The sequence below is a fragment of the Homo sapiens genome, chromosome 14 (assembly GCF_000001405.40).
Source record: "Homo sapiens chromosome 14, GRCh38.p14 Primary Assembly".
In the NCBI taxonomy this organism is placed as follows: domain Eukaryota; kingdom Metazoa; phylum Chordata; class Mammalia; order Primates; family Hominidae; genus Homo; species Homo sapiens.
This window is the reverse complement of record NC_000014.9, coordinates 106,592,538-106,620,136: the sequence shown is the minus strand read 5'-3', so window position 1 is coordinate 106,620,136 and position 27,599 is coordinate 106,592,538. Positions and strand designations below refer to the sequence as shown.

Below are 27,599 nucleotides of genomic sequence, written 5' to 3'. Positions count from 1 at the left end.
AAGACCTTTAATAAAAAAAAATTTCTACGTGATCCAGTATTTTTTTCCTTCTGTCAAGCAAATAACTCATAGGATTCTTTTCTTTCCTTGGTTGAGAAAGATTTTCTACAAGCTTCAGCACACGTCAGGCATACACTGTCCCTGAATGGGCATTTACCCTCAGATGGGTACACACACCTGTCAACATGGGGGCTCTTCTGTCAGACAAACACACCTTTACTCATGTGGATTCTTCCCTCAGACAAACACACATGTCCCCACGTGGACTCTTTCCTCAGATTACAACATTTGTCCTTACATTTACTATTTCCTCAGAAAACAGACATTGCATCATGTGGTCTCTTGTCTCAGACAAGCAAACATGTCTTCAGTCAGATAAGTCTGTGGATTTCCACATTGACTGTTTCCTTACACAAGCACCTATATCCAATATTTAACTGTTTTGTGAGAAATTTATCCCTTTTCTCTGGAAATGTATTTTTATGTTCTTACTGGACATATTTTTTAATAATGTTTGCTACTATGAAGATACCCGAACACTGTCCATACGAGAGAATAAGAAAGAGTAATAAGCAGATTAACCCTGTGCATCCAGACCCAGGAGTCCTTTGATCCTGCCCTTCCGAAATGGAGACACAGAGGAAGGATGAGCAATGCTGAGCAGTGCACCCATGACCACAAAAGGAAAGACATGGCAATGTGTCCCCTCCCCTCCTCATGAAAGGCAGCTCATCCCCTGTTCCTTCAGGCCCTGGTGAGGAGCCACCCCATGTATATTCCCTTGATCAGTGTCCACACCATGGGGTCTGCACTGATCTGGGCTTCCCTTCTCATCACCCTCAATATTAGTGTCCCTTGTGAATCAGGTCCAGCTGCGGCTGTTCCACATGGGGCCGTTCTTCCATTTCCTCAGTGTTTGCAGAAGTCCTGTGTGAAGTTTATTGATGGAGTCAGAGGCAGAAAATTGTACAGCCCAGTGGTTCACTGAGACTCTCCTGCAAAGCCTCTGATTTCACCTTTACTGGCTACAGCATGAGCTTGGTCCAGCAGGCTTCATGACAGGGATTGGTGTGGGTGGAAACAGTGAGTGATCAAGTGGGAGTTCTCAGAGTTACTCTCCATGAGTACAAATAAATTAACAGTCCCAAGCGACACCTTTTCATGTGCAGTCTACCTTACAATGACCAACCTGAAAGCCAAGGACAAGGCTGTGTATTACTGTGAGGGACACAGGAGAGGGAATATCTGTGTGAGCCCAGACACAAAAATCTCTGCAGAGAGACAGGAGGGAACTGCATGGTAGATGCTCCTCATAACCACAAAGGGGCAGTCAGGACCATCAGGAGGAGCTCAGGACACCTGGGGGTGCTCAGAACCATGAGGGGTGCTCAGGACATCGGGGGCTCTCAGAACCATGAGGGGTGCTCAGGACATCAGGGGGCTCTCAGAACCACCAGGGGGCGCTCAGGACACCTGGGGGCGCTCAGAAGCATCAGGGGTGCTCAGGATATCAGAGTGCCCTCAGTACCACGAGGGGGCGCTCATGACACCAGGGGCACTCAGAACCACCAGGGGGCGCTCAGTACACGGGGGTTCTCTTAGGAAGCAGCTCCACATCAGGAGCCTGAGAGGCTGTGATTTCGTTTTAAACCTTGGTGATTCCCGACCTGGTCAAGCAAAAGTCTTCCCCAGGATCTCTCACCATTTCTTCTTTGTAAATCCATGATTTTTTTTTACCTACAAAACATTAAGTTAGAACAGGGATTTAATTCAACTTTTAATTCTGCAGATTTTCCGAGTAATAGTAGCAATGTTCCCTCAGGACAATTTTTAAAATTGGTTATTTATATATTTTATTTATGTAAAATGATACTATCTTGAAAATAGTAAAATTTTTAAAATCATACCTCTAATCCCAGCACTTTAGGAGGTTCGGGCAGGCAGATCAGTTGCGCTCAGGAGTTTTAGAACAGCCTGGCAACACATTTAGATCTTTTCCATACAAAAAGAAAAAGAAAAAGAAAATAGCTAGGTGTGGTGCTACCTCTGGTACCAGCTATTTGAAAGTCTGAGGTGGGAGGATCCCTTAAGCCTGGGAGGTTGATGCTGCAGTGAGCTGTGATTGTGCCACTACACTCCGGCCTGGTTGACAGAGTGAGACCCTTTCTTAAAAATACAAACTGTTTCAATAAGTAGAGCTTTGTGTCTTTGTGCTGTAATAATCAGTTGTATATATTTTCTAACTGTAACTCAGCATATGCATGGTGTTCTGTTTCTTTTTCTTTCATTTGCTGTTTTTGGAAATTAAACACCTCTTTAAACGCTCTTGTTCTCCCCTTTGGTTCGCTTCGGGTGTCCTGTTTTTCAGACTATTTCTTCATCTTCCCTTTTTCTTTGAAAGTCTTTTTCTTTCTCAGTTTCCATGCAGGATAAAGAAAGTCCCTTTACTTTCTGTCCTCCAAGTCTGGTGAACAGTTCCCTTCTCTTCATAACCACTGAAGCCAACCAAGTTTAGGAGGATAACAGTTCTCCTTAGAATATGCTCGTCTACCTGCAGACTCTCTGCCCTCCTCACCCTTTTCTAGGGTCCTGCACACATCACACTCATCCCATCCCCTCCCTTCCCTAAGTACCACAGAGTGGGCTCTGCAGTTCCTGCTTCCCTGTGTGTGCTCAGCCCTGGGGCTCACTAGTGCTTTGATGATGACGTTCAAATCCCCATGTGCTTAGACTCTCTAAGACCACCCTCTAGGAAGATGCCATTGTGAGTGAGTCCTGGAAATCATGGGCTGTGTTCAGTTTCATATTGCTGGATCTTCTCTATTTTAAAGGAATACTGGCAATTAAGATTAGAGTTTGTATTGAATATTCATGCCAAAAAAGTTTTCTTTCAAAACTTTTCAAATAAAACAATTTTTCCTGCCTAGTTTGAAAACTACAATGTAAATTCAACAAATAATATAATACAATTTTAAAGGTGACGTTTGTCTTATTGGTTATTCAATTTATTAAAAACAGAAGATATTTAAAATAAATTCCATTGCACATTTAAGTGATGTATTTGACAAGAATGGCATTTACATACATTTTTACCAAAACACGTATTTAAATATATTTGTCTTTTTAATATTGGTAGAGGCAGACATACACGTAGAAAAGCATCATTTTGTACTACAATCTCAAACTGTAAACACAATTTAAATTCAGTTAAATAATTAGAATAATATGAAACAGGCCGGGCGTGGTGGCTCATGCCTGTAATCCCAGCACTTTGGGAGGCCGAGGCGGGCGGATCACGAGGTCAGGAGATCAAGACCATTCTGGCTAAAACGGTGAAACCCCGTCTCTACTAAAAATACAAAAAATTAGCCGGGCGCAGTGGCGGGCGCCTGTAGTCCCAGCTACTTGGGAGGCTGAGGCAGGAGAATGGCGTGAACCCGGGAGGCGGAGCTTGCAGTGAGCCGAGATCCCGCCACTGCACTCCAGCCTGGGCGACAGAGCGAGACTCCGTCTCAAAAAAAAAAAAAAAAAAAAAAATGAAACAAATAGGTGCGTTGTTTTGGTGTTTAGATATACATTCACTTTTGCATGGGCACATGTATGTGTCTTTGCTGGGCTGTTGTGTATGTATGTGTGCTTGTATGACCATCAAGTTTTCAAATACATCATTAAATTTCATAGTTACATTCGTCTTGGCCAGGCACGGAGGCTCAGGCCTGTAATCCCAGCATTTTGGGAGGCTTAGGCAAGCAGATGACTTGGAGTTAAGAGTTCAAGACCAGCCTTGTCAACATGGCAAAACCCCATCTCTACGAAAAATACAAAAATTAGCCAGGTGTTGTGGCACGTGCCTTTAGTCCCAGTGCGACAGGGAAATGCTGGGTCAGAAATCCCACACAAAGTCTCTACTTGGTTACCACCTAATGGAACTGTAGGAAGAAAGCCACCATCCTTCAGAACCCAGAATGGTAGATCCACTGACAGCTTGCACAGTGTGCCTGGAAGAGCCAGAAACACTCAGTGACAGCCCATGAGTGTAGCCAGAAGGGAGATTGTGCCCTGCAAAGCCACAAGGGCAGAACTGTCCAAGACCATGGGAACCCACCAGTTGCATCCGGTAACCTGGATTTGAGACATGGAGTCAAAGAAGACTATTTTGGAACGTTAAGATTTGACTGCCCAGCTGGATTTCAGACTTGCACGTGGCCTGCAGTTTGGACCAATTTCTCCCATTTGCAATGGCTGTATTTACACAATGCCTGAACCCCCATTGTACCTAGGAAGTAACTTGCTTGTTTTTTATTTTACAGGCTCATAGATGGAAGGGAGTTGCCTTGTCTCAGAAAAGACCATGGGCTGTGGACTTTTGAGTTGGGGCTCAAATGAGTTAAGACTTCAGGGGCCTGTTGGAAAGTCATGAATGGTTTTGAAACGTAAGGACATTAGATTTAAGAGGCGCCAGTGTTGGAATCATATGGTTTGGCTGTGTCCCTGCACAAATCTCATCTTGAATTGTATCTCCCACAATTCCCACGTGTCGTGGGAGAAACCCAGTGGGAGGTGATTAAATCATGGAGGGAGTTCTTCTTTGTGCGTTATTGTGATAGTGGATGACTCTCATGAGATCTGATGGTTTTAAAAAACGGGAGTTCCCTGCCCTCTCTTTGTCTGCTGCCATCTCCATGTAAGATAAAACTTGCTCCTCCTTGCCTTCCACCATGATGTGGAGGCCTCCCAAGCCATGTGTAACTGTAAGTCCATTAAACTTTTTCCTCTATAAATTACTCAGTCTCATGTATGTCTTTATTAGCAGTGTGAAAACAGACTAATACAGCAAATATCAATCTCTTAAAATATTTTGTTGTTCTGCATGTAATATAGCACAGTCTAATATGGGAGGTAAAATAAATCATCCATGGACCTTCAGATATAAGTCATAGGGTAATTATGCCTGTGTCCCTGAAGGAGTGAACTAGAGGTTATACACACTAGTGGCACTACCTTTGGCAAAGGGTGTTCAGGGGTTTCTGAAAGTTCTGATAATTTTAATTTTAAAATTGAATTTACTATGTATTTCTTCATCAACCTTTCCAGAAGATTTTTGGCAGTAAGAACAGCCTAGTATTGGAGTAATACTGATGAATTAGAGAGTTATTTTGTAATTATTCTCCTGAGATTTGCATGAATCAATTGATATAGAAGTTCGTATGTCCCAAGTTGAAACATCAGAATCAAGAAGGCTTCATCACCCTTAATGGCTGTGGTTTTTGGCAAGGCAGTACTTCAATTCAGCCAGAAAGAGAGACAACAATAAAACTTTCAAATGCAGGGGAGTCTGACCTCAGTCTCTCTCTTATAAAGGCAAAGGCAAAGCTGTGCCACATCAAGATTTTTCTTCAAGCCTTCAGAGTCAACATTGGGAATGGAAAAGCCAATCACTTTGTCCTTAGAGAAGGCGAAGATCTGAGAGGAATGCAGAGTTGTGTTCATGAAGGTGATGACATTGTTATTTCTTCTCCTTTGCCCAGTGACTGCTTTCAAGTTGAGTGTTTCAGATGTCAGACCTGACTTATAGGGATGGTTGTGACTGCACGTGACTGACAGGGACTGAGACTCTATATCTCTAAGTGTCCTGTCCTAGGAGCAGCTACAGGAGTCAGCCCTAGACTGGAAGTGCCCTCACTGACCCTCTGCCTCACCTGTGCAGCCTCTGGCCAGTTGAAGAAAGTTTTATCCCTGGAACATCTTTTGTCAAAACCACTCCAACTAGTATTCATGACCTATGGTCCACACCCTCAAGTACACAGACATGATCATGCTATGACTTGGTGTCTAGAAGATCCCTGCACTTTTAATTTTACCTCTAATATTAGACTCCACTTTATCACATGCGGACACAGCAGAATATTTTAAGACTTTGATATGTTATGCTGAAAAATTCAATAGTTCATAAAAGTCTACTTCCCATCACTGCCAGTGTTTACTACTGAGTAAGGATCTGCCATCCCCTAGGGAGGAACTATAATGGATGGTGTGCCCTGTTAGTGGTTATGGGAATGAATCCATCTTGTGGCAAATGGCAGCATCTTCTTGTTTTGCAAGATTAAATAGTTTTCTATGGTGTATAAATACAACATTGTCTTTATCCATTTGTCTATCTACTGACACTCAGATTGTTTCCATATATTGGCTAAGATTAATAGTGTTTCAATAAACATAGGATTCAACTATCTTAACAAGGTGGTAATTTCATCTGCTTTGGGTATATTTCTAAAAGCAGAATTTCTGGTCATATAACATTTCCAGTTTTAATTCATTTGGTGCCTTTATATTGCTTTCCATAATTGTGAAAATATAGAGTGGTATAGCCATTATGAAAAACAGTTTCAGTTTTGAGGTATGATCCATAAACAAATAATGTTTGATTATGGCTCTCCATGAGAATTTCTAATAAATATGATAGAAGTCAAGAAAGCGTCTCACATTAAAGCAAGGATTAATTTTATCCCTTACTCCCTCAAAAGCAAAAGATTGGAAGCATGCATGATGGAGGCTGTTAGCAGGGTTCAGAATGATATCATAAAAGGAAACTCAGTTGGATAAAAATGTTGGGCTTTCAGTCATAGGTATGTCGATACTCAATATGAAACCGCGAAGTCAAATGAGGATCTAGAATGTGTTCACTTGAAGCAACAGCACATTCTCAAACGCACCTATTGCTGCATCACAAGGGTGATGAACTTTTGAAACAAGTAAAGTGTGAGTGCACAGTAAGTGATAAAGTTATCACCTTTACATGAAGTTTGTTCAATATGCCAAAGGCTTTTACAGATTAATCATACACAAATATACACAATGTATTTTTGCATACACAGATGTCTAGAGGATGATTCTTTTAGGGAAAATTCTTCAGGTCACAGAAATCTGTGTAAGTTGGAGGTCCCATGAAAAAGTATCTCTTTATAAATACTGTTCTATTGCTCAATTAGGGAAAATGATCTCTGTTGGAGAAAGCTTCCAATTTTGCAGATTTCTTCATTGCTTCTTGAGTTGTAAGACATGAACCAAAAAATTGACTGGAGTTTTTTGGAGTTTCATGGCTGGAGTTTCATGGCTGTGTTGTTAAAAATTTCTTATACGGTTTCTTTCAATTATTTGAGATCAGTTTTTCTGATTTTTTTCTCCAGTAGATAAATTTTCACAAGATCTCAGGAAACCATGTCTCTGGTGCTTTAGTTTGAAAAACTAACTTCCTAGGTAAAGAAGCTTCTGTCTAACCATGATGAGCTCATTTCTTCTGCATACCATGAAGTTTGAGACCCCATTGTCCAGAATCATGAAAATTTTACACTCCAGTTTACTGAAAATCTTGACTTTGAATTTAATATTGATTGGCATTGACAAAAATGGTTCATTCTTGGATGTGTCCTAAGTTGCTCACCCAACATATCAGTGGACTGAGAATCTTCCATTAGCTCCCTCTGTCCATAGCACTGAGTCTATTGACAATCTTTGCAGTCCTCTATGAAGGAGAGTCCTGAGGTTCATCAGATTCTTGTAGACACTCAGATGAACCAAAGGAATTAACGGAATTGAGGACTGCCAGCCATTTCCACAACACTAGGAATAATTACCATCTAAGTGTAAAGGTCTACATCATTCAGAATACCCTGCATGACAGGCTGATGCAAAAAAAAATCCAACCCTGCAGAGGCTTCACAGCAACCCTCACAGTTCCTTCAGGGAAGAAATAATCTCCAAGTTCAGTGAGTCAGTAAAGCTGTTCTGAGCTACAGTAAACATTGGATTGGGCCCAGTTTTGTCTGAGTTCAATGTGATTGTTATACTCAGCTGCTGATCCTATATGGACTGAGTATGGATAATTTAAATGAGCCTGGCTGCGTGGTTTGTTATATGAAAACCTGAACTAAATATAAATAAAGGGCATGTCTGGACTAGCATGAGGGTGAGAGATTCTGGGAGCTCCACCCCCCTTACTCTTATTGCCCTTTCCTCCAGGAACCTCCAGGTCCTCAGGGTGAGAATCCACACAGATCCCTTCATGGCTCTATTGCCAGGAGACCAAATCTCTGATAAAATCACTCAGACCTTCTTCAGACAGACAACCCAGGGAAAGGGCATTTTTACACCCTTATGTATGTGGGGAAAGGTAATCCATACCCATTAGAAGCCCCTGCCAGCAGCCTAACTTTATCATGAAAATGGGTAAAATTAGCCAATAGGGGTACATTTAAGAAAATTTTCCTGTGATGTTCCATCCAGAAAAGAGCAAAAATCAGCTTCACACCTGGAGACTTCCTGTATCGGGCACAGCCCAGAGAAAGAAGATCACCACAGAATTAAAATGCAACTGTAAGAACATGTAATGCTTCCGTGTTCCACACATTATGTCTCACCAGTTTAGTCAATATGGATTAAATATGAGAGCGTGGCAATGCACAAACTCTATCTGAGGAGGAAAGTCAGAGAAAAAATGTTAAAGAAAATATGGCAATTTGAAGCCTCTGACACCAGCAACTTCAGCACCAAGGAAATGATTTCACCCTCATTGGCCTCAAATTTACTTTTCATGGAGCATCTTCAGGGTTCCAAAGTGAGACCAGGTGAATTCAATGTGCATGCACTTCCCGGGTGTCCACTTGTATTTTGTTTACTTTACTTCTATTTGCAGAAAGTAAACACATACTCAGCCTTAGTGTCAGTGTAGGGAGTGCTTTCCATGACATGAATACCAGAAAAAAAGGAAAAACATGGGGCCAATTAATGTAAAAATTAGCCACTGTGTGTGTGTGTGTGTGTGTGTGTGTAGGTGTGATTTGAATACTAGAGTTGGAGTGGGCTTCTATCCACATGCACCTGCACCTGCAGGTAGTCTCAGGTGCAATAATCAACTGCCTGACCCTAAAGGAAACAAGAATCTCCCCAAACCCCTGAAGAGTGTTTGGGTTTACCGTGTGTCCAGTGATTCAGTGCCTCTAGAGCTCCAGGAAGGGGCTCCCCGGTGATGCCTGAGATCTTTTCTTCAGGTCTCCCTGCAGAGTTCTCTGGGTTTCCTAAGGGCAATTCACTATTTCAAAAGATGGTGTGAGAAGCACATGCTGTCATTAAAGGAGAATTCTGAGCCACGGCACAGCCACTTTATACTGGGCTAGAGACACTGGTATGAATATACTCTGTAAGTTTAGACAGAAAGCCTCGTGCATGGTAGGGGCTGGGCTGCAGGGGGTGCTCAGGATAAACGCAGCACAGTCTCCCGCCCCAGAGCAGGTGCACAGGAGGCTGGGGAGGGGTTCCTCTCAGGGCCTGGGACTTCCTTTGAAAATATCTAAAATAAGTATTTCACAAGGGCTGCTGTTGTTTGTATAAATATCCTATTCAATTGTGAGCATTTATCAAACTGGATGTTGTAATGACAACCACTTTTACAATGGGGATTTCAAACTCCCCTAGATATCTTAATAGTAAGCAGCTGGAGGTCAAGAAGAGATCCTTTCTTTTAAATAAGTGCAATTTTTGGAGAAACATACTAATTCCCAAAATAACGCATTCACATATTAAGGTCTAGAAATGGCTCAAGTTGTCCCTGGTGCATTCGAATGTGGGTTCAAAGTGAGGTGCGTGTCCTGAGGGAGCTTGTTCTCCAGTGGAGGAAGCTCTGTCAACACAGAGTTCAGGGATGTGTAGGGGTCGCATCGCCTCTAACAGGATTACGGCTTGAACCCTCAGCATGTACAATTGTGTCGTCCATCTGTCATGTATTTGCTCTATCTCATCCTGGCTCAGGAATTGGGCTATTCAATAGCATCCTTCGTGAATATGCAAATCACTAAGGTTAATACAGATATCTCTGTGCCGTGAGAGCATCACCCAACAACCACACCCCTCCTTGGGAGAATCCCCTAGATCACAGCTCCTCACCATGGACTGGACCTGGAGCATCCTCTTCTTGGTGGCAGCAGCAACAGGTAAGGGACTCCCCAGTCCCAGGGCTGAGGGAGAAACCAGGCCAGTCATGTGAGACTTCACCCACTGCTGTCTCCTCTCCACAGGTGCCCACTCCCGAGTGCAGCTGGTGCAGTCTGGGCCTGAGGTGAAGCAGCCTGGGGCCTCGGCGAAGGTCTCCTGCAAGGTGTCTGGTTAAACTGTCATCACCTATGGTATGAATTGGATACGACAGACCCCAGGACAGGGGCTTGAGTGGATGGGATGGATCATCCTACCCTGGTGAACCCAATGTATGCCCACAGATTCACACACGGTTTGTCTTCTCCATGGACACCTCTGTCAGCACGGCGGATCTGCAGACTAGCTGCCTAAAGACTGAGGATGCAGCCATTTATTACTGTGTGAGGTACACCGTGTGGAAACCCACATCCCGAGAGTTTTAGAAACCCTGAGGAAGGAGGCAGCTGTGATGAGCTGAGGCAGTGGTGCAGCATGTCTCTAAACTTCCATTTTATCTAAGTTTGCATTGAGTTCCGCTTTAATATTAGCCAGGAATGTGGGATAGACGGGTGCTCCTAAGAGGTCCTTAATTTGCCCATTTTGATGGGTTTTCCAGAAGACGTGAGAAGCCACTTTGTTAACAAAGCATCCCAAAGCCATGCCCTGCTCCAGAAACACGTGTACCCATTTCCTGGTCTTTGGTTAACTGACAAGCTCTCATCAGCGCACCTGGGCTAATTTCTCATCAGGTAGAAAAATGTGTTGTAAAGCAAGGCTAACGTTGTGATAGCAATTCCTGCTCAATAACCTTCAGCATCGTTGTTGTTGTGTTCTATCAACTAATTACTTGACTTCAAGGTTCTCATTGGGAGTGTCTTATAAATTTAAGGGATATATAGAAGTTCCCCTAATTAAAATAAAACAATTGTGAGCACAACCTCAGTGTTCAACCATGTCTCCACCCTTCCCACCATTCACCCCAAAGAAATGTTCACCTCTCCTGGAAGTCGGGTTCATTTTCAAATTAGTTATTTTTTATTTTACTATATCAAGATTATTGTATGTGACTACTGTAGCAGAAAGTGAATTAGGGGAACTTGAAGTAACCAACGAAAGATAAATTCAGAACTAATTAAACAAGATGTCAGAACGTGATTGGCTCTAGTCTTTTAAAATTCAGCAGGTTATGTAACCAGGCTTTAAATTTACACATCTTCCTGTTACCTTCACGGCACAGTCAACTCCCATTATGTAAGAAATGGCAACTGCATTCCCAAGCGTCATCCAAAATTGTAAAAATAGACTGGGTGAGGTGAGGAGTTGATTGTTTAAATTCCGCTCTGAAGAAGCAGCATCAACTCAACAAACCACCGCTTTTCCCTCAGTGACTAGAGCTATGTCGCAGGCCACATGGACCTAAATATCCTTGATAGAGATAATAGGACTACATAAATTGGGCTGATCATTTTTATGCTGTAAAATTAATAGGTGAGTCTGCACTCCAGCCTGGGCAACAAAACAAGTCTTGCCTGTAAATACAAAAGAAAGATAAATTAATAGGTACTGACTTTGACATTTCGGATAATAATATTTTCATAAACCGAATTTAATTATACCCACATTGTTACCTACACCTTCACTGAAAAGTTCCTAGTTATCATGAGTTCCATCAACACTCCACGTGTTCAAATCTGGACATCCAAGAGAGTCTGGAGAATAAAATGCAATGAGGGCAGTGAAACTTGCATATATTCAGCACCTCTTAACTCAGGAGGACTCAATACACCCTGGAACACTCTGCTTTTCTGAATGGCTCACAATGACTCCAGCTCACTCTCCAACCTCCTCAAACATCTGGCTTCTGTTTGCCCTAAGTTCACGCTCTGCTCTTAGTCTGTGCTCTGAAGTCTTTGCAAAGGTGAAAATGAGCTGTCAGATGGAACTTCCTTCTCACCTCAGCATGGAATTTACTGTTTCATTTAATGACCACTCTTTCCATAATGGTTGATTTCTTTCAGCCTGTTCATTACTGGTGATTTTCAAGGGAATCTCTATTGAATTTTTACATTTTTGCATTTTTGTCTCGGTGACAATGTTGAGAAGTTTTTACCTCTAGCATCATAACATGATCTAGTGACCTGACACATTTGTGGCAAGCAATACCTACAAATTCAGAAGTTCTTTGGTTACTTTCCACAAAATATAATTATTTCTGGTCTGTGTATGAGCATATCCTAGCAACCTTGTACTCCACACAGGTAGATGTCTACAAGCCTATGAATTAATCTCTGTAAATAAAAATTTATCTCAATTTCTTTCAATGTTCATAATTCTTCTGAGGATGAGGAAGATCTTTCTGGATCTATTCAGACAATAGGCCCAGAGACCACCTGGTATGTAAGGAGCTCACCTGGCTCACCTGGTTCCCCCTGTTGTCTCACATAAGGTCAGCCCACTTGTTCAGGTCCTAAGAAGAGAGCTCAGTTTTATCTGATTTTACAACACTCCCAATTTCTGCTGACTCTCCTGTTACCCACATCCATGGAGATACATTATTTATTATACAATTAACCAAAGTAATGTCAAAGGCCCAATGTGCAATATTGCACATCCTAGGGTATGTTCATGCAATTGAATCGAGGAGAAAGTCTTTCAGAGACAGATGGATCTGAACTGGTAAATATGTGTGTAAGGACTCTGGGCTTAAGTGTCATTGTCCAGCCATGTTTCACAGGTGTGACCTGTCAGGGAAGAACCAGAGTTCCTTGTGTTCTCAGAGGGGAGGGGTCCCAGAAGTCCTCTCTGGTTCCCAGGAAAGGTAATTGCATTAATCTTGGTGATGAGACTATCATCCAGTGATGATGTACTATAGAGTTTATGTTTGAAGTTGACACTGCTATCGCAATCTACATCTTTTCACACAGAAGTGTTTAGAGGTCAGGCCACATCTTCAGGATCCCACATTGAGAAGGACAGAGATATATTCCACTACCTTCTCCTGAGATCTCAGGCAGAAACCCAAATTTCAAAAGGTCTCAGAAGGGCAGCTCTCAGGGGCTATTTAAAAATAACCCACTTCGTGGGACAGGGAGCATCCTTCTAACCATGATGGATGTTCTGAACTACAATAAACATTGCATGGATCCAGGGTCTGAATTCACTGTGATTATTACACTCCACTGCTGTTTCAATGTGTCTGAAGGGGTAAATGACAATTTAGATGACCTGGGTGTGTGGTTTGTTTTATATAAATCTTCAAGGATAGAACAGCATTGAACCTATTCCAAAATCTGTCCCTGATCCAAGATCACACTGATCTCCCAGACCAGCATCTTCAGCACATTTCCCTACCTGGAAGAAGAGGACTATGGGCTTGGTAAGGGGAGGCCACAGGAAGAGAACTGAGTTCTCAGAGGGCACAGCCAGCTTCCTACTCCCAGGGCGAGCCCAAAAGACTGGGGCCTCCCTCCTCCCTTTTCACCTGTCCATACAAAGTCACCGCCCACATGCAAATCCTCACTTAGGCACCTACAGGAAACCAGCACACATTTCCTTAAATTTGGGATCCAGCTCACATGGGAAATACTTTCTGAGACTCATGGGCCTCCTGCACAAGAACATGAAACACCTGTGGTTCTTCCTCCTGCTGGTGGCAGCTCCCAGATGTGAGTGCCTCAGGGATCCAGACCTGAAGATATGAGATGCTGCCTCTCATCCCAGGGCTCACCGTGGTTCTCTCTGTTCACAGGGGTCCTGTCCCAGGTGCAGCTGCAGGAGTCGGGCCCAGGACTGGTGAAGCCTTCGGAGACCCTGTCCCTCATCTGCGCTGTCTCTGGTGACTCCATCAGCAGTGGTAACTGGTGAATCTGGGTCCGCCAGCCCCCAGGGAAGGGGCTGGAGTGGATTGGGGAAATCCATCATAGTGGGAGCACCTACTACAACCCGTCCCTCAAGAGTCGAATCACCATGTCCGTAGACACGTCCAAGAACCAGTTCTACCTGAAGCTGAGCTCTGTGACCGCCGCGGACACGGCCGTGTATTACTGTGCGAGATACACAGTGAGGGGAGGTGAGTGTGAGCCCAGACACAAACCTCCCTACAGATAGGCAGAGGGGGCGGGCACAGGTGCTGCTCAGGACCAACAGGGGGCGCGCGAGGCCACAGAGCCCGAGGCCGGGTCAGGAGCAGGTGCAGGGAGGGCGGGGCTTCCTCATCAGCTCAGTGATCTCCCTCCTCGCCAGCACTCAGATGTCCCCAGGGCTCCTGTTTCTTTATTGTCTGTGGTTCTGCTTCCTCACATCCTTGTGGCAGACAAGAAAGGAGGAAGACAATTTTTCTGTTTACTGTTGAGGTTTCACCAATTACTAGGAACTTTCCTACAAGTTCCTGCGTGACTCATTTTACCGTATATGTGTGTGTGTATAAATATATACACATACACACACACACCATATATATACACCATATATATTATATAGATACACACCATATATATTATATATATACACACCATATATATTATATATACACACCATATATATTATATATATACACACGATATATATAATATATATATACACACCATATGTATATTATATATAAACACACCGTATATATATATGGTTCTCACCATCTCTTGATTTGTGTCATCAATGGAATTGTGCCTATTTGAAATTCATTTACCCAAACCTTAAATCCAATGGATCTATACCGGAATTTTAATGATGTAATTAAGGTTAAATGTGGTCAAAGTGTGAGACCCTAATTCAATAAACCAGTTGTCTTTATAAGAAGAGGAAGAGACACCCGAGACCTCTCACTTTTCGCGTGCACACAGAGAAGAAGCCGTGAGGAGACGTAGTGCACTAGAAGGTGGCCCTGTGCAAGCCAGGAAGAAGCCGCGCTAAGAACCAATTTTTACAGCTCCTTGATCTTCCACATTCAGACTGCAGAATTGTAAGAAAATCAATATTTGTTGTTTAACCCACCCACTCCTGTTGTCTTCTTATGAAGATCCAAACAGACTGATACCACGTAATTCTGTTAGCTCTGGTTCGTGGAGGGAGGAGCAGCCCCCTGAGGCTGGACACTTCTCTCAGATTTCCACGTGAAGTAGGTAAAAATAGTAGCTCTCATATAAAAATGTGTCATGACCCTGTTGGCCATTTTTGAGCAAGGTCTCTGAAACCAGCCCTTGTGTGTGTGTCACAAATGTTTTCTTTTATCTTTTATTTGGACATAACACATAGACAAGGGGTACCAGCTGGATGGAGACTGGTCACTGCCCATCTTCTGTTGTCTCCTTAGTATGTCACAGAAAACCACACCAACATCACCAACGTCACTGTTTTTCTTCAACCACCTCAAACCGACTATAGAAATGATCCCTGCAGTATAGTCTATTTCTTCAACTTTCTAAATTTGCACTGAATCTCTTCCTAAATGGGGAGCTACATGGGGTCTGAGTTTTGTTCCTTTCTTCCCAGTCTTCCCCAAGTGCCAAGGACAGAATAGACTTAAAATAAAATTTGGCCGTCAGTGGCCCCAACCCCACATCACTTTCTAAAACCCACATCCTGCATCCATCCTTCTCTGGACACCCCTCATCGGGCTACCTACGAATGGCCAGAAGCTGCCATCACCTTCTGGGCTGAGGCCACGAGTTATACACACGTGTGATTTCAGTCACACACACTCTACTGCAGGACACACCTGTGTTCTGAGGCACTCAGGCACCTGCTGATCTCAGTCATTCTCTAATAAATTACACATCTCTTATTAATAAAGGTCCAGATGGTCCCATCAGCTGCAGAGCAGTGGAGTAAAGCTCATGGGTGGGTCCGTCAGGTAGAAGTCAGACAATGGATGGGATGGCTGGTCACTTCCCTTTTCACTGATGTCCCCAGTGAATATTAATGGAATAAAACCATATTAACTACAGAGGGACAGAAAAGAAGACTAGCTCATCAAGGTATTTAAGGACCAGGAACTTTATTTGGGGGGAAAGTGAAAGACACTTTTAAATGGAAAGCCCTAAAGCACATACAACAGCTGAGAGAGTGGCCACTGTGCACATGAAGGCTGAGGAGACGGATGGCAGCGTCCGTTCCTCCAAGATGTCCCTGGGTGTGTGATGGTTGGACTCCTTATGCATATGAATATAAGAGCTGGACTCAGGGAGAAAAAAGGGCCATATCCCATAGGAAAGGAAGACAAAAAAGCAGATGGGCATCCCTGGAGAGAGCTCATTAGATTTGGTGTGTTTAAGACAAAAATTTCTTCCAAAAATTGTAATGTTCTAAGCTAAATATGAACCTCTTCAATAAACTGAGAATTAACAGGAGAATAGAGCTATGAGTTGAGAGAAGAAACAAATCATGAGAGAGCAGAAAGCAAATCCACAAAAAACTGTCATATGACAGAAGTCAGAATGGAGCTGGGGCAGCTACTTCATTATTCTGAAGACTTGTTGACCATGTGGAGAAGGGGCTTGAACAAATGGGGACGTTCTCCAACCTTCTGAATCAGCCTCCTTCTTATGCATGAGTAAAAATCATAGTTCTGGGGGTGACCCTCCCAATTTTCCTGTCTGTACCTCTTCCCCCAGGGGTAGAGTGTCTTCCCAACCACAATGGTTTCTCACCAGTGTCCTCAGCTTCTCCTCCATTGAACTTACCCTGCAGATTAAGAATTTCTTCTAGATGTAGTTCTTTGGGAATTTTCTGTTTTCTTTAGTTTCTGTTGACTCCACCACACCCCATAGGTCACAGGTTTGATTGGATTTCCCCTGGAGACAGTGGAGGTGGATCCAGGCGTTCAACAGTCCTCGCTGTTCCTCCCTTCCTGTCAGCACCACAGGACAGCAGATAAGGGAGTTGACTGTAGATTTTTCGAATTCTTGGGAAAATCCTGCAAGGACTAGTAGATTCACACTCCAATACCATTAGCACATGCATCCAAAAAAAATACTCACGAAATATTTCCAGGTTAGCCTGTTCCTCTCTCAATGCCATCCAGTGGCACCTGCCCTGGGTTCACCAACATGTGGGCCCCACTCCTCTCTGCTGGCATCTCTCTCCTCACATTTCAGTCTTCTCGTTAGCTCTGTGAAAGCAACTCAGATATGTTAAAAGGTTTTCTTCTTCATTTATTCAGTTTTTCAGGTTTGTTGTTAATGAGGTCAGAATAAGACCATAGTTTTCTCATTTTTCACATTCCCACACTGAGTAGCCACTTTCTATATAAAAGCCAGAAACTAAGGGAACAAATCAAATATCCATATCCACTACAGGTGAACGTTAAACAATTTGACATATGATTATGAACTAAAGTACAATGCAGAATTAGAATCAAGGCATCCTCATTCTCATAAAAGCATGTCTACATTCTCAAATAACTCTGCTGAGTGAAAGTAGCTGAAGAATTAAGAGTGCAATTCATAAACTTCTAATTGTATAAACTGCAAAAGGTCCAACTATTCTAAAGTAACAGAGCAGATTTGAAATTTGTGAGAAACGGGTGTTGAAAGTAATTGGCTGGTGAGATGAAATTACAGAGAAGTGACAGAAAGATTTAGGGGTTAACTTAATTGTACACAACCTGATTAAAGTTTGCACACATACGTTACCATTTTCCAAATTGTGCAGTGTAGATTTGAATTAATTATTAATTGTACTTAAAAAAAGCAGTAACAAATAAACACATGAATATGTTTACTGAGGAGGAACAAAAAATAGATGGGTATGAACACTGGAAACATCTCAGACTCTTGAAAGTACACAGGCTTGAACACTGGTTCTCTCCGTATACTTCCGGTAAACGGCTGAATACACTAAAAGAAAACAGAGATGTCCTGGCAGGGGTGGAATCCTGCAGACCTCACTAGGTGTGTCCCACACTGCCCTGGAGTTGTCTCAGGGGAGCAGTCTCCTCTAGTGGTCAGAGGCACAGGCTGAGATAATGGGGTTAACTCTGTCCAGCTGTGTGACTTTGAATGCATTGTATAAACACTCTGTTCTGTATGTAATTTATCTTCCTTAAAATGCAACATTGACACTTACATTAAATGTATTCTACAAATATGTCAAAAAGAAGATGATGACTGCTAAATGATTATCAAGGCACAATCACATAATATAATGATATTTTCCTGAGTGATAAGATGACTACCAATCTCGGGGGCACTTTGTCTGCTCTGAGCCCTGCCCCTCCTCAGGATTCCCATCCCAGAGCTTGCTATACAGTAGGAGACATGCAAATAGGTTTCTCCCTCTGCTGATGACCAGTCCTGACCCCATAGCTCTGGGAGAGAAGCGCCAGCCCTGGGATTCCCAGGGGTTTCCATTTGGTGATCAGGACTAAAGACAGAGGACCCACCATGGAGCTTGGGCTGAGCTGGGTTTTCACTGTTGCTGTTTTAAAAGGTGAACTAGAGAGATTGAGTGTGAATGGATACACTTGAGAGAAACAGTGGATATGTCTGGAACTTTCTGACCAGGACACCTACAAAGTTTGCAGGTGTCCAGTGTGAGGTACAGCTGGTGGAGTCTGAAGAAAACCAAAGACAACTTGACAACTTGGGGGATCCCTGAGACTCTCCTGTGCAGACTCTGGATTAACCTTCAGTAGCTACTGAATGAGCTCAGATTCCCAGGCTCCAGGGAAGGGGCTGGAGTGAGTAGTAGATATATAGTACGATAGAAGTCAGATATGTTATGCACAATCTGTGAAGAGCAGATTCACCATCTCCAAAGAAAATGCCAAGAACTCACTCTGTTTGCAAATGAACAGTCTGAGAGCAGAGGGCACAGCTGTGTGTTACTGTATGTGAGGCACCAGGTAAGAAGACATCAGTGTGAACACAGACACAGAATTTCCTGAAATAAGGGAGGAGTCTGGGCTAAAAGGGCACTCAGGACCCACAGAAAACAGGGGAAGCTCTAGGGCAGGTGCAGATGGTCATCATGGGCTGCTTTCCTTGAGGGTCTGAGGCTTCCTCTGCATCTAACAGTTTCCCTGGGAGCCTCTCTACATTTATGCTTCTGTGGCCACCCCTGAGGTCTCTGGACATTCTCATTTGTTGCAAAGGCAGATGTAAGTATTGGAGGCATAAAAATGCACAGGAGGCCAGGGAGTCTGTAGACATTGTTACCCCAGAAGGTCAATCTCACCACTAGTGCTGGAGGAGGGTGGGAGTTTGATGAAGCTGCCCTAAGTATCCTGTGGTCTAAGCTAAGTCCAACGAGGCCATTTGTGCCTCCCTGAGCACAGTTGTCCATCAGAGATGTCCCATGTGTCCCAGCAGCAGCCATGTCTCAGTGTCTTCACTGTGCACAGCCATTGTCTGGGAGGAGCTCCCAGGATGGGTGTCTTTGGCACACACCAGGTGGCGGGTGTTAGAGTGCGGTGCAGCAGCTGGCTGCCTGTTCTATTGGGCTCCCTGATGCTGGAGAGATGGGAGGTGCATTCTCAGGTCCAGCACCCTGTTTGTGAATTTTTATATAAAACCATGATTTTACTTCATTTTCTCAGATGACATAGATAATTAGGAACAGAACCTGCAAAGAAATTGTAATTTTCAACTTTACCCCAAATTTATTGTTTCTTAATTCTGTGTAAGATCCAGACATATTATTGCCTTCCTCATGAGAAATTGTTCTATTTAAAATGAAATTAGTTTTTTCTCACATTCTTTGTTTCTGTTCAAGTACAGAGATCTTTATTAAAGTAAGTTGGGTTCTTTCCACACACTAACCCTCACCTCCCCCAGAGAAAGAGCAGAGATTTTCCTCACTCTGAGTCTAAGGGAGGAGCTGTTCCTGCACGACTCAGAGCCTGCAGAGACCCCCCCCCGCCAGGTGCAGCTTCAGTGAGTCAGGTATTTCTCCTTGTGGGTGACCTCCACCGCCAGTGATTGCTGCTCAGGTCTAATTGTGGGTTAAGCATTAGGACACCCTTCAGGTGATCACATCTCAGTCTTATTCTGAAAATCACCATGAACAGAGATAGTTCAATGTCTATTCTCCTGACATTAGTTTCTCTTTATTATTTGGTTCCAAGTATGGAGAAAAATGTGACAATAAATTTGTCAGAATCTAACCTCAGTATCCACTGCATTACTCTAGGAGACTCACAAATTGAACACAAATGAGCCCTTTATTCTCATAAAAGTGTATGTATTTGGGAATTTCAATGTGTTCTCCAGAACCTGTGCATGCCAACAACTGTGTTTCTCAGTGCCCACTTGGCCTGGTGAAGCCCTCACAGACCCTCTCCCTCACCTGTGCTGTCTCTGGATTCCCCATCACAACCAGTGCTTCCTGCTGTAGCTGCATTCATAAACCCCCCAGGAAGGGACTGGAGTGAATCCGGTGCACAGGTCATGAGGGAGTGCACATTCCAACCCACTCCTCAAGAGTCCAGTCACCATCTCCAGATCCATGTCCAAAAAGCAGTTCTTCCTACAGCCGAGCTAAGTGAGCCGCAAGCACACAGCCATGTATTTTTAACAAAAGACACAGTAAGGTAACCACAGTGGGAACTCACACCCAAACCTCCCTGTGGGGGTGCACAGGACAGCCACAGTTACTCAGGACCCCAGGATTCCTCAGGACACCAAGGGGCACTCAAGGCCATTGTAGATGCCCTCAGGTAGCCAAGGGTTCTCAGGAAACATGGAGGAAAACCAGGACCCCAAAAGGTGCTCCGTACAGCAGGGGACTCAGGACAATTGTGGGGACTCAGAGCAGGCTCAAAGCTCAGCTTCAGGGCAGGTGCAGCTGGGGTTGAAAGGGGCTGGATGAGGGGTTTTGTGACACCATCATATTTCACCACTAGACACACTCCACTTTGTCTATTCTAACGCATGAGAGTGTATGATTAGAAAATGATATTTATATAAATACATAACCATAGTTAGCTGTGTCAAGTTGTCCTCTTGCTAGGTGTCCATAGCTAGGTGCATCAGCCTTGTCCATAAGGACTAATTCCCCGCAATTACTGGAGAATCTCATAAATTGTGGTCAATTATGTCAGATTCCTCTCTTTTTCTGCCTTCCTTTCTCCCTTCTTCTCTCTCTCTCACACAGAAACTTACATACACCCACCCCACAACACACCAAAATCTATAACTTTTATTACCTGATATATTCAATAAACCTGATTAATGTGCAGCTTTTCCAGCTTCGTTATTTATGCTGTTGTAACAATAAGAACAATGTGTTTCCTAGCTGTGTACTTCTCTAAGCTGAGTAGCATCTTTGTTTATAATACCTAGAATTAAAAACAACCCAAAAGTCAATCACCAGCTTAACTGGTAAACAAATTGAGGAAAAGTCATTCATTGACATACTATCCACTACTACCATCAACTAATGTTGGGTACACTCAACAGCATGGTTAAATTCACAAGTACTTGTGATGAGTAAAATGAGCCAAAGTAACAAAAGTGCATACATAAGATACAACTTTCATAAATTCTATAGAACAAAAAGTAATCTAAAGTTACATAAAAATCAGTAGTTCACTGTGAGTATTGTAGGAGAGGGGAAGGACTAGGAAGGAGGAATTATAGTACAAGACAAAATTTTGAGGGAATTGACTTGTTATCTATGTTGCTAGTGATGATGTCTATGACCCATTTGTAAAATTGAACACTTCATATGGAGATTATTATTTTTAATTTAACTCCATTAATGACAGTACTAATTATAGTAGGTATAATTTGGTATCAAAAGAATTAGACAGAGATAAATAAAATACATGAAAAGTCAGAGACTCTTGAATATACACATAAATGAGCCCTGGGCATCTCTGTATTTTTAGAGAAATGCTAGAATATAGAAAAATAATGGCATAATTTTATGTCACTAAAAAAGTTTATCGAACTCCACCAGTCATGTGGTATTAGTTCATTTTCACACTGGTATAAAGAACTACCTGAGACTGGGTAGTTTACAAGGAAAAGAGATTTAGTTGGCTCACCGTTCTTCATGGCTGGGGAGGCCACAGGAAACTTACAATCATGGTGGAAGGTGAAGGGGAAACAAGGCACATCTCCCAGGGCAGCAGGAGAGAGAGAGAGGGGGGAAGTGACACATACTTTTAAACAATCAGTGGTTGTTAGAACTCACTCACTACCATGAGAACAACATGGGGAAACTGGACCCATGATCCAATCACCTCTCACCTGGTCCCTCCCCTGACATGTGGGGATTACAATTTGAGATGATACTTTGATGGGGATACGAAATCAATCTATATCACATGTCCAGCTCTGTCCTGGAGTTGTTTCAGGGACCCAGGGTGTCCGGCTGATAGAACCAGTGACACCAAGCTCACACCCTCAGCTGTAGTTGACACCACACAAAGCCAAGAGATTACAACTAAGATTTAGTTTGAATGTCGTGTCTGATGAAGTCACACACTCAGAGAAAGTGAATATGGAAAAGTTTATTATTTGCACTCTATAGGTGTCTGGTGAGTGCAGGGCAGGTCTCCCAGGAAAATCTGAAACAGCTTGAAAGAAGAAGAAAGGAGACTGGCTCAGCATTTTTATGATGGTTTGGTCCTGGGGGCAGAGTGAGGCTTCCCACTCACAGAAAGGGGTTTGCAGGGTTTGAAACTCCCCCTGGCATCGAATGAAGAAGCTCCTGTGATTTCAAACTAGAGCCACCTTGTGTGGCAAAAAAGGAGATGATGGAGGAATATGCTTTAAATCATCAGCAGTCATGCACCCAAAAATAGTGTGACAACTTATTCTATGCAGCAGGAATAAAAATAATTAATAAGAAAGAAGATAAGGGTTCAGTGTGGGTGGACAACACGCAGGTCTACAGAAATGAGATGACTTTAGAAATATAAGCAAAGGATAATGAAAAAAAGGAGGGGAAGGGGAATTAAACAGGGTCCTGGTCTGATGTCTTGGGTAGAAGCTTCTCACAATCAAGGACTACCAGCTCATTCTGCAGGTCTTAGGTCAGCCATCTGCTTAAAAACATCAGAAACGCCAGAGAATCTATGAACATGCTCAGTTTAACATTTCCTATTTGAGTAGCTTTACAGTTATGTGAAATTCTTAACTGGTTCTTGATTTTTCTTTTAGATACAGGCTCTCACCCTGTCACACAGTTTAAAGTGCAGTGGTGTGATCATAGCTCGCTGTAATTTTGAACTCCTGACTCATATTCTTCCCATCTTAGCCTCTTGAATATCTAGAACTAGAGGGGCATGCCACTCATCCCCTCCTTATTTTTTATTTTATTTTTTCATATAAATAAGGTCTCTTTGTGTTGCCCAGGCTGGTTTTGATTGCCTGGTCTCATGGGATTTCCCTCACTTCCCTTCTGAAAGTGGTGTGATTATACAGATGATCCAGTGCATCTGGCCTGAATTTATTCTTTAATTGTAAAATACGAACCCAATAATTAACTGCCTGAATGTTTTCTGCAGTGAGTTAGTTAAAAGGATCTGACAAGATTCCTTCCAATATGATTCAAGAGCAGTATTGTCCACTGATGTTCCTTCCAGTTTCCTTGTTGAAGATCACAAGAGTCTGTGGAAAAGAGGTAGTAAAAAGGCCGCCTCAAACTCTTCGTGGTTGGAGTGGGTACCACACATGCAAGCAGTAGGACAAGGATGATCTCTGGGGTAAAGTCTATAAACATATAGGCCTTTTAGCTGCCAAGTCATAGGGTAATAACTGATGCATCCTGAGGAGTGGACCATGGTTTCATAGTGCTAGTGGGAGAACCCTTGGCCAAGCAAGTTTTACATTTTATTAAAGATTTGATAATTTTAATGTAAAGAAGACATTTTTTAAACGTTCCCAGAAGATTGTGAGTGGTATTGATTCTGTCTCGTATGAACAATGACAGTGCTCTCCACGGTTAGATTATGTTATAAACTAGAATGAGGTAGAGTGTTTGGTGTATTAAATCACTATTTTTTTAGCTTCTATGTTAGTTTTTTGTTTGTGTGTTAGCATTTGCTTTAAAATTCTATTAATCAGATCTCTAGTTGGTAGAAATTCATCTGAAAGTTTCTTCCATTGTTGTCCATTTTGATAGGATTTCCAGAAGATGTAAGAACCCTCTCTGTTTGCAAAAATATTCCAAAGTTGTGCACCATCTAGAAACATAGTTACTTAATTCTAATTTTTAATTTATTAAAAAGTTGTGATAAGTGCAAAGTTTTCTGCCTTCTGAATTGATTTCATAACACACAGAATAATATATACTAAATGGAAGTTTGTACTAGTAATACAAATTACTGGTTCATAACCTCTACTTTTATTATTGAGGTATTATCCATCAATATATAATCTTAAATCAATGATCTCAGTGGGAATCTTACCTAAGTAATATACAAAATATTTTCCTGATCTTGACATAAAATAGATGTGAACACATTCTTCATATTCAGCCATGTCTCCTGTCTATCACATTATGAACCACATGCTAACTTTGATTTACTTGGGACTTGCTCTAATTTCAAACTAGTTATTTTTTATCTTCACGCAGCTGGATTATTATGTGTGGCTATTTTACCAGAGTGATAAGATACAATACTAACAATTTTCACTGCAGGCATGTCTAGGCAAGCGCCCTGTGCACAATGACCTTAGTGGGTTGGACATTCTATGGGGACTCTCCCCTGTCTGCCTAGGAGAGTTATCTGCCTCCTCCCTCTATCATTTTCCTCTTTGAATAAGTGCATCTAACCCGTTAGAATACAAAGGCCAACCTTAACTGCTCCCAGCTGACAGGGGATGCTGTTTTGGGAAGATCTCCCTTGAGGTCTGTCTAAGGGACCCAGTAAAAGGGAGCCATTATCCCAGGCTTCACTTGGATGACCATTTGGAGTTGATGCCTGAAGGTGAGAAGAGACAAACCGGGTTATTAGAAGACATGTATCAAAACCAAACAAGGTGGTAAGGACAGTTTGAAAAAAAATTCCAAGGCTGCTGACACACCCAGATAACTGGTGGCTGTAGTTATGCCTGCTAAGATTTGGGTGCATGGGGCTTGGCTTTCGTTACCTCCCTTGGACTTATTTTCCCAAACAAAGAAACCTCCGGGTTAGGGGGACCCTATTTATTCCAGTCACCTGGCATGATTTGCAGGATAATTGCTCAGAATTAAAATATTCGTCCAGATGTTTATATAGCCCATGCCTGTGTTTCTTCTGAGCTGCAGCCAGAGATCATTGGTTGGTTCACAGCGATAAGCAGAGTTAGTCTAAAATGGAGGCAAATACTTAAAACTTATTTCTTCTCTCAGTTAATGGATTCTATAGAGAAAAGTAGCTACTCGGCATGGGAATGTAAAAAAATGAGTAAACTATGATCTTATTCTGAACTCATTAACAACAAACCTGAAAAACCAATTGAAGAGACTGTAATTTAAAGACAAGTGTATGATATGTTTTGAAACATAATTTTTCTCTCTCCAGTTCTGATTTTTGTCAGAAACTAATCATTATAGGACTGAGTGATTTGCAAAATAAACTTTAGTCTTATGGTTGGTCTGATCATTTGCATAAAGCGAAGCCATAATAATTAATAATAATTCTGTAGGAAAAGCCTGCAAGCACGAGGAGCTTCACAGTCTAACACTATGAGCACATGCATCCTCCAGCAACTCACTGAATATTTTCAAGTCAGCTGGTTCTTAGCTTAAATAACATCCAGTTGGTATCTGTCCCAGGAACACTAATATATGGTTCTCTCTGCAGGCCCCTTTCTCCACAGATTAAGGGTTTTTTTTTTTCTCTGTAATATCAACTCAGATATGTTGAATGCTTTTTCCTTATTAGTGGTTTTTCAGGTTTGTTGTTAATGATTTCAGAATAAGATCATTGTTTACTCATTTTTTTTAAATTCCCGTGCCGAGTAGCTACTTTTCTCTATAGAATCCATTAACTGGGAGAAAAAATAACATTTTCTTATGGGTGAACAATTAAATAGTTTGACATATATTTATGTACTGGTATATAATGCAGCTTGAAATCAAGGCATGCCTCAATCATAAAAATCATGGCTAAATTCTCAAAGAATTGTGCTGAGTGAAAGAAGCTAAGGAATTAAGAGTAAATTTTATATAATTCATTGTAGAAATATTAGAAGATGCCACTACCATAAATTAAAATGAAGAAGACTTAAATTTTTCTGAGAAAATGGTGTTGGGAATGATGCGGATGTGATTTAAGTTTCAGAGGAATAAGAAAAAGATTTAGGGATTAATTTAATTATTCAAAAGTTGATTGAAGTGCCGAGTGAATGGCTGCAAACATAGCTCTACATTTTTCAAATCATTCCCTATAAATTTGAATTAATTATTTATTTTTATACTTGAATAAAGCAATAACAAAGAAATAAATGAATATTTTTGCTAAAATGGAGCAATAAAAAGACTGATATTGACAGAAGAAATATGACTGACTTCTGAAAATACACACACATGAGCCGTGGTTCTCTCTACATATTTAGATAAATTACAGAAAGTTGTCATAACTGATGGGGAATCCTGCAGACTTCACTAGGCATAGTCCACACTGCCCTGGAGTTGTCTCAGGGGAGCTGCCTCCTCCAGTGGTTAGAGCACAGGCCCAGGTAATAGGACTCATTTTTTTAGATGTGTAATTTTAGACACACTGCACAACTGCTGTGTTCTCTGTGCAAATTATCTCCTGTAAAATGTAACATTGAAACCTGCCTTAAATATATTGTGTAAATATGTAAAAATAAAATCAGATTGTGAGAGCTAAATGCTAATCAAGGCGCAATCACGTAATATACAATTATATTTTCCTGAATGATGGAATTAATACCAATCTCCCCCAGGACACTTCATCTGCACGGAGCCCGGCCTCTCCTCAGATGTCCCACCCCAGAGCTTGCTATATAGTCGGGGACATGCAAATAGGGCCCTCCCTCTGCTGATGAAAACCAGCCCAGCTGACCCTGCAGCTCTGGGAGAGGAGCCCAGCACTGGGATTCCGAGGTGTTTCCATTCGGTGATCAGCACTGAACACAGAGGACTCACCATGGAGTTTTGGCTGAGCTGGGTTTTCCTTGTTGCTATTTCAAAAGGTGATTCATGGAGAACTAGAGATATCGAGTGTGAGTGAACACGAGTGAGAGAAACAGTGGATATGTGTGGCAGTTTCTAACCAATGTCTCTGTGTTTGCAGGTGTCCAGTGTGAGGTGCAGCTGGTGGAGACTGGAGGAGGCTTGATCCAGCCTGGGGGGTCCCTGAGACTCTCCTGTGCAGCCTCTGGGTTCACCGTCAGTAGCAACTACATGAGCTGGGTCCGCCAGGCTCCAGGGAAGGGGCTGGAGTGGGTCTCAGTTATTTATAGCGGTGGTAGCACATACTACGCAGACTCCGTGAAGGGCCGATTCACCATCTCCAGAGACAATTCCAAGAACACGCTGTATCTTCAAATGAACAGCCTGAGAGCCGAGGACACGGCCGTGTATTACTGTGCGAGAGACACAGTGAGGGGAGGCCATTGTGCGCCCAGACACAAACCTCCCTGCAGGAACGCTGGGGAAATCAGCGGCAGGGGGCGCTCAGGAGCCACTGATCAGAGTCAGCCCCGGAGGCAGGTGCAGATGGAGGCTGATTTCCT

The 27,599-nt window shown here is 42.5% G+C and overlaps 5 pseudogenes, 1 gene segment (V, D, J or C) and 1 further gene; all 7 read left to right on the top strand.

Annotated features, from left to right (window-relative positions):
• The window catches only part of IGH (immunoglobulin heavy locus), a 1,293,408-nt gene that overhangs the window by 259,708 nt on the left and 1,006,101 nt on the right, over positions 1 to 27,599 (top strand).
• On the top strand, positions 923 to 1,228 carry IGHV3-57 (immunoglobulin heavy variable 3-57 (pseudogene); annotated as a pseudogene). Its single transcript is given in 1 exon segment — positions 923 to 1,228. A coding segment is annotated over 1 exon segment (306 nt).
• IGHV7-56 (immunoglobulin heavy variable 7-56 (pseudogene)) lies at positions 9,941 to 10,375 on the top strand (annotated as a pseudogene). Its single transcript is given in 2 exon segments — positions 9,941 to 9,986; positions 10,071 to 10,375. Coding segments are annotated over 2 exon segments (351 nt in total).
• Positions 13,586 to 14,021, top strand: IGHV4-55 (immunoglobulin heavy variable 4-55 (pseudogene); annotated as a pseudogene). The gene is given in 2 exon segments: positions 13,586 to 13,631; positions 13,715 to 14,021. Coding segments are annotated over 2 exon segments (353 nt in total).
• IGHV3-54 (immunoglobulin heavy variable 3-54 (pseudogene)) lies at positions 18,345 to 18,801 on the top strand (annotated as a pseudogene). The gene is given in 2 exon segments: positions 18,345 to 18,390; positions 18,485 to 18,801. Coding segments are annotated over 2 exon segments (363 nt in total).
• Positions 20,213 to 20,482, top strand: IGHVII-53-1 (immunoglobulin heavy variable (II)-53-1 (pseudogene); annotated as a pseudogene). The gene is given in 1 exon segment: positions 20,213 to 20,482. A coding segment is annotated over 1 exon segment (270 nt).
• On the top strand, positions 27,011 to 27,461 carry IGHV3-53 (immunoglobulin heavy variable 3-53). The segment is given in 2 exon segments: positions 27,011 to 27,056; positions 27,158 to 27,461. Coding segments are annotated over 2 exon segments (350 nt in total), but the record flags the coding sequence as incomplete, so codon positions are not given.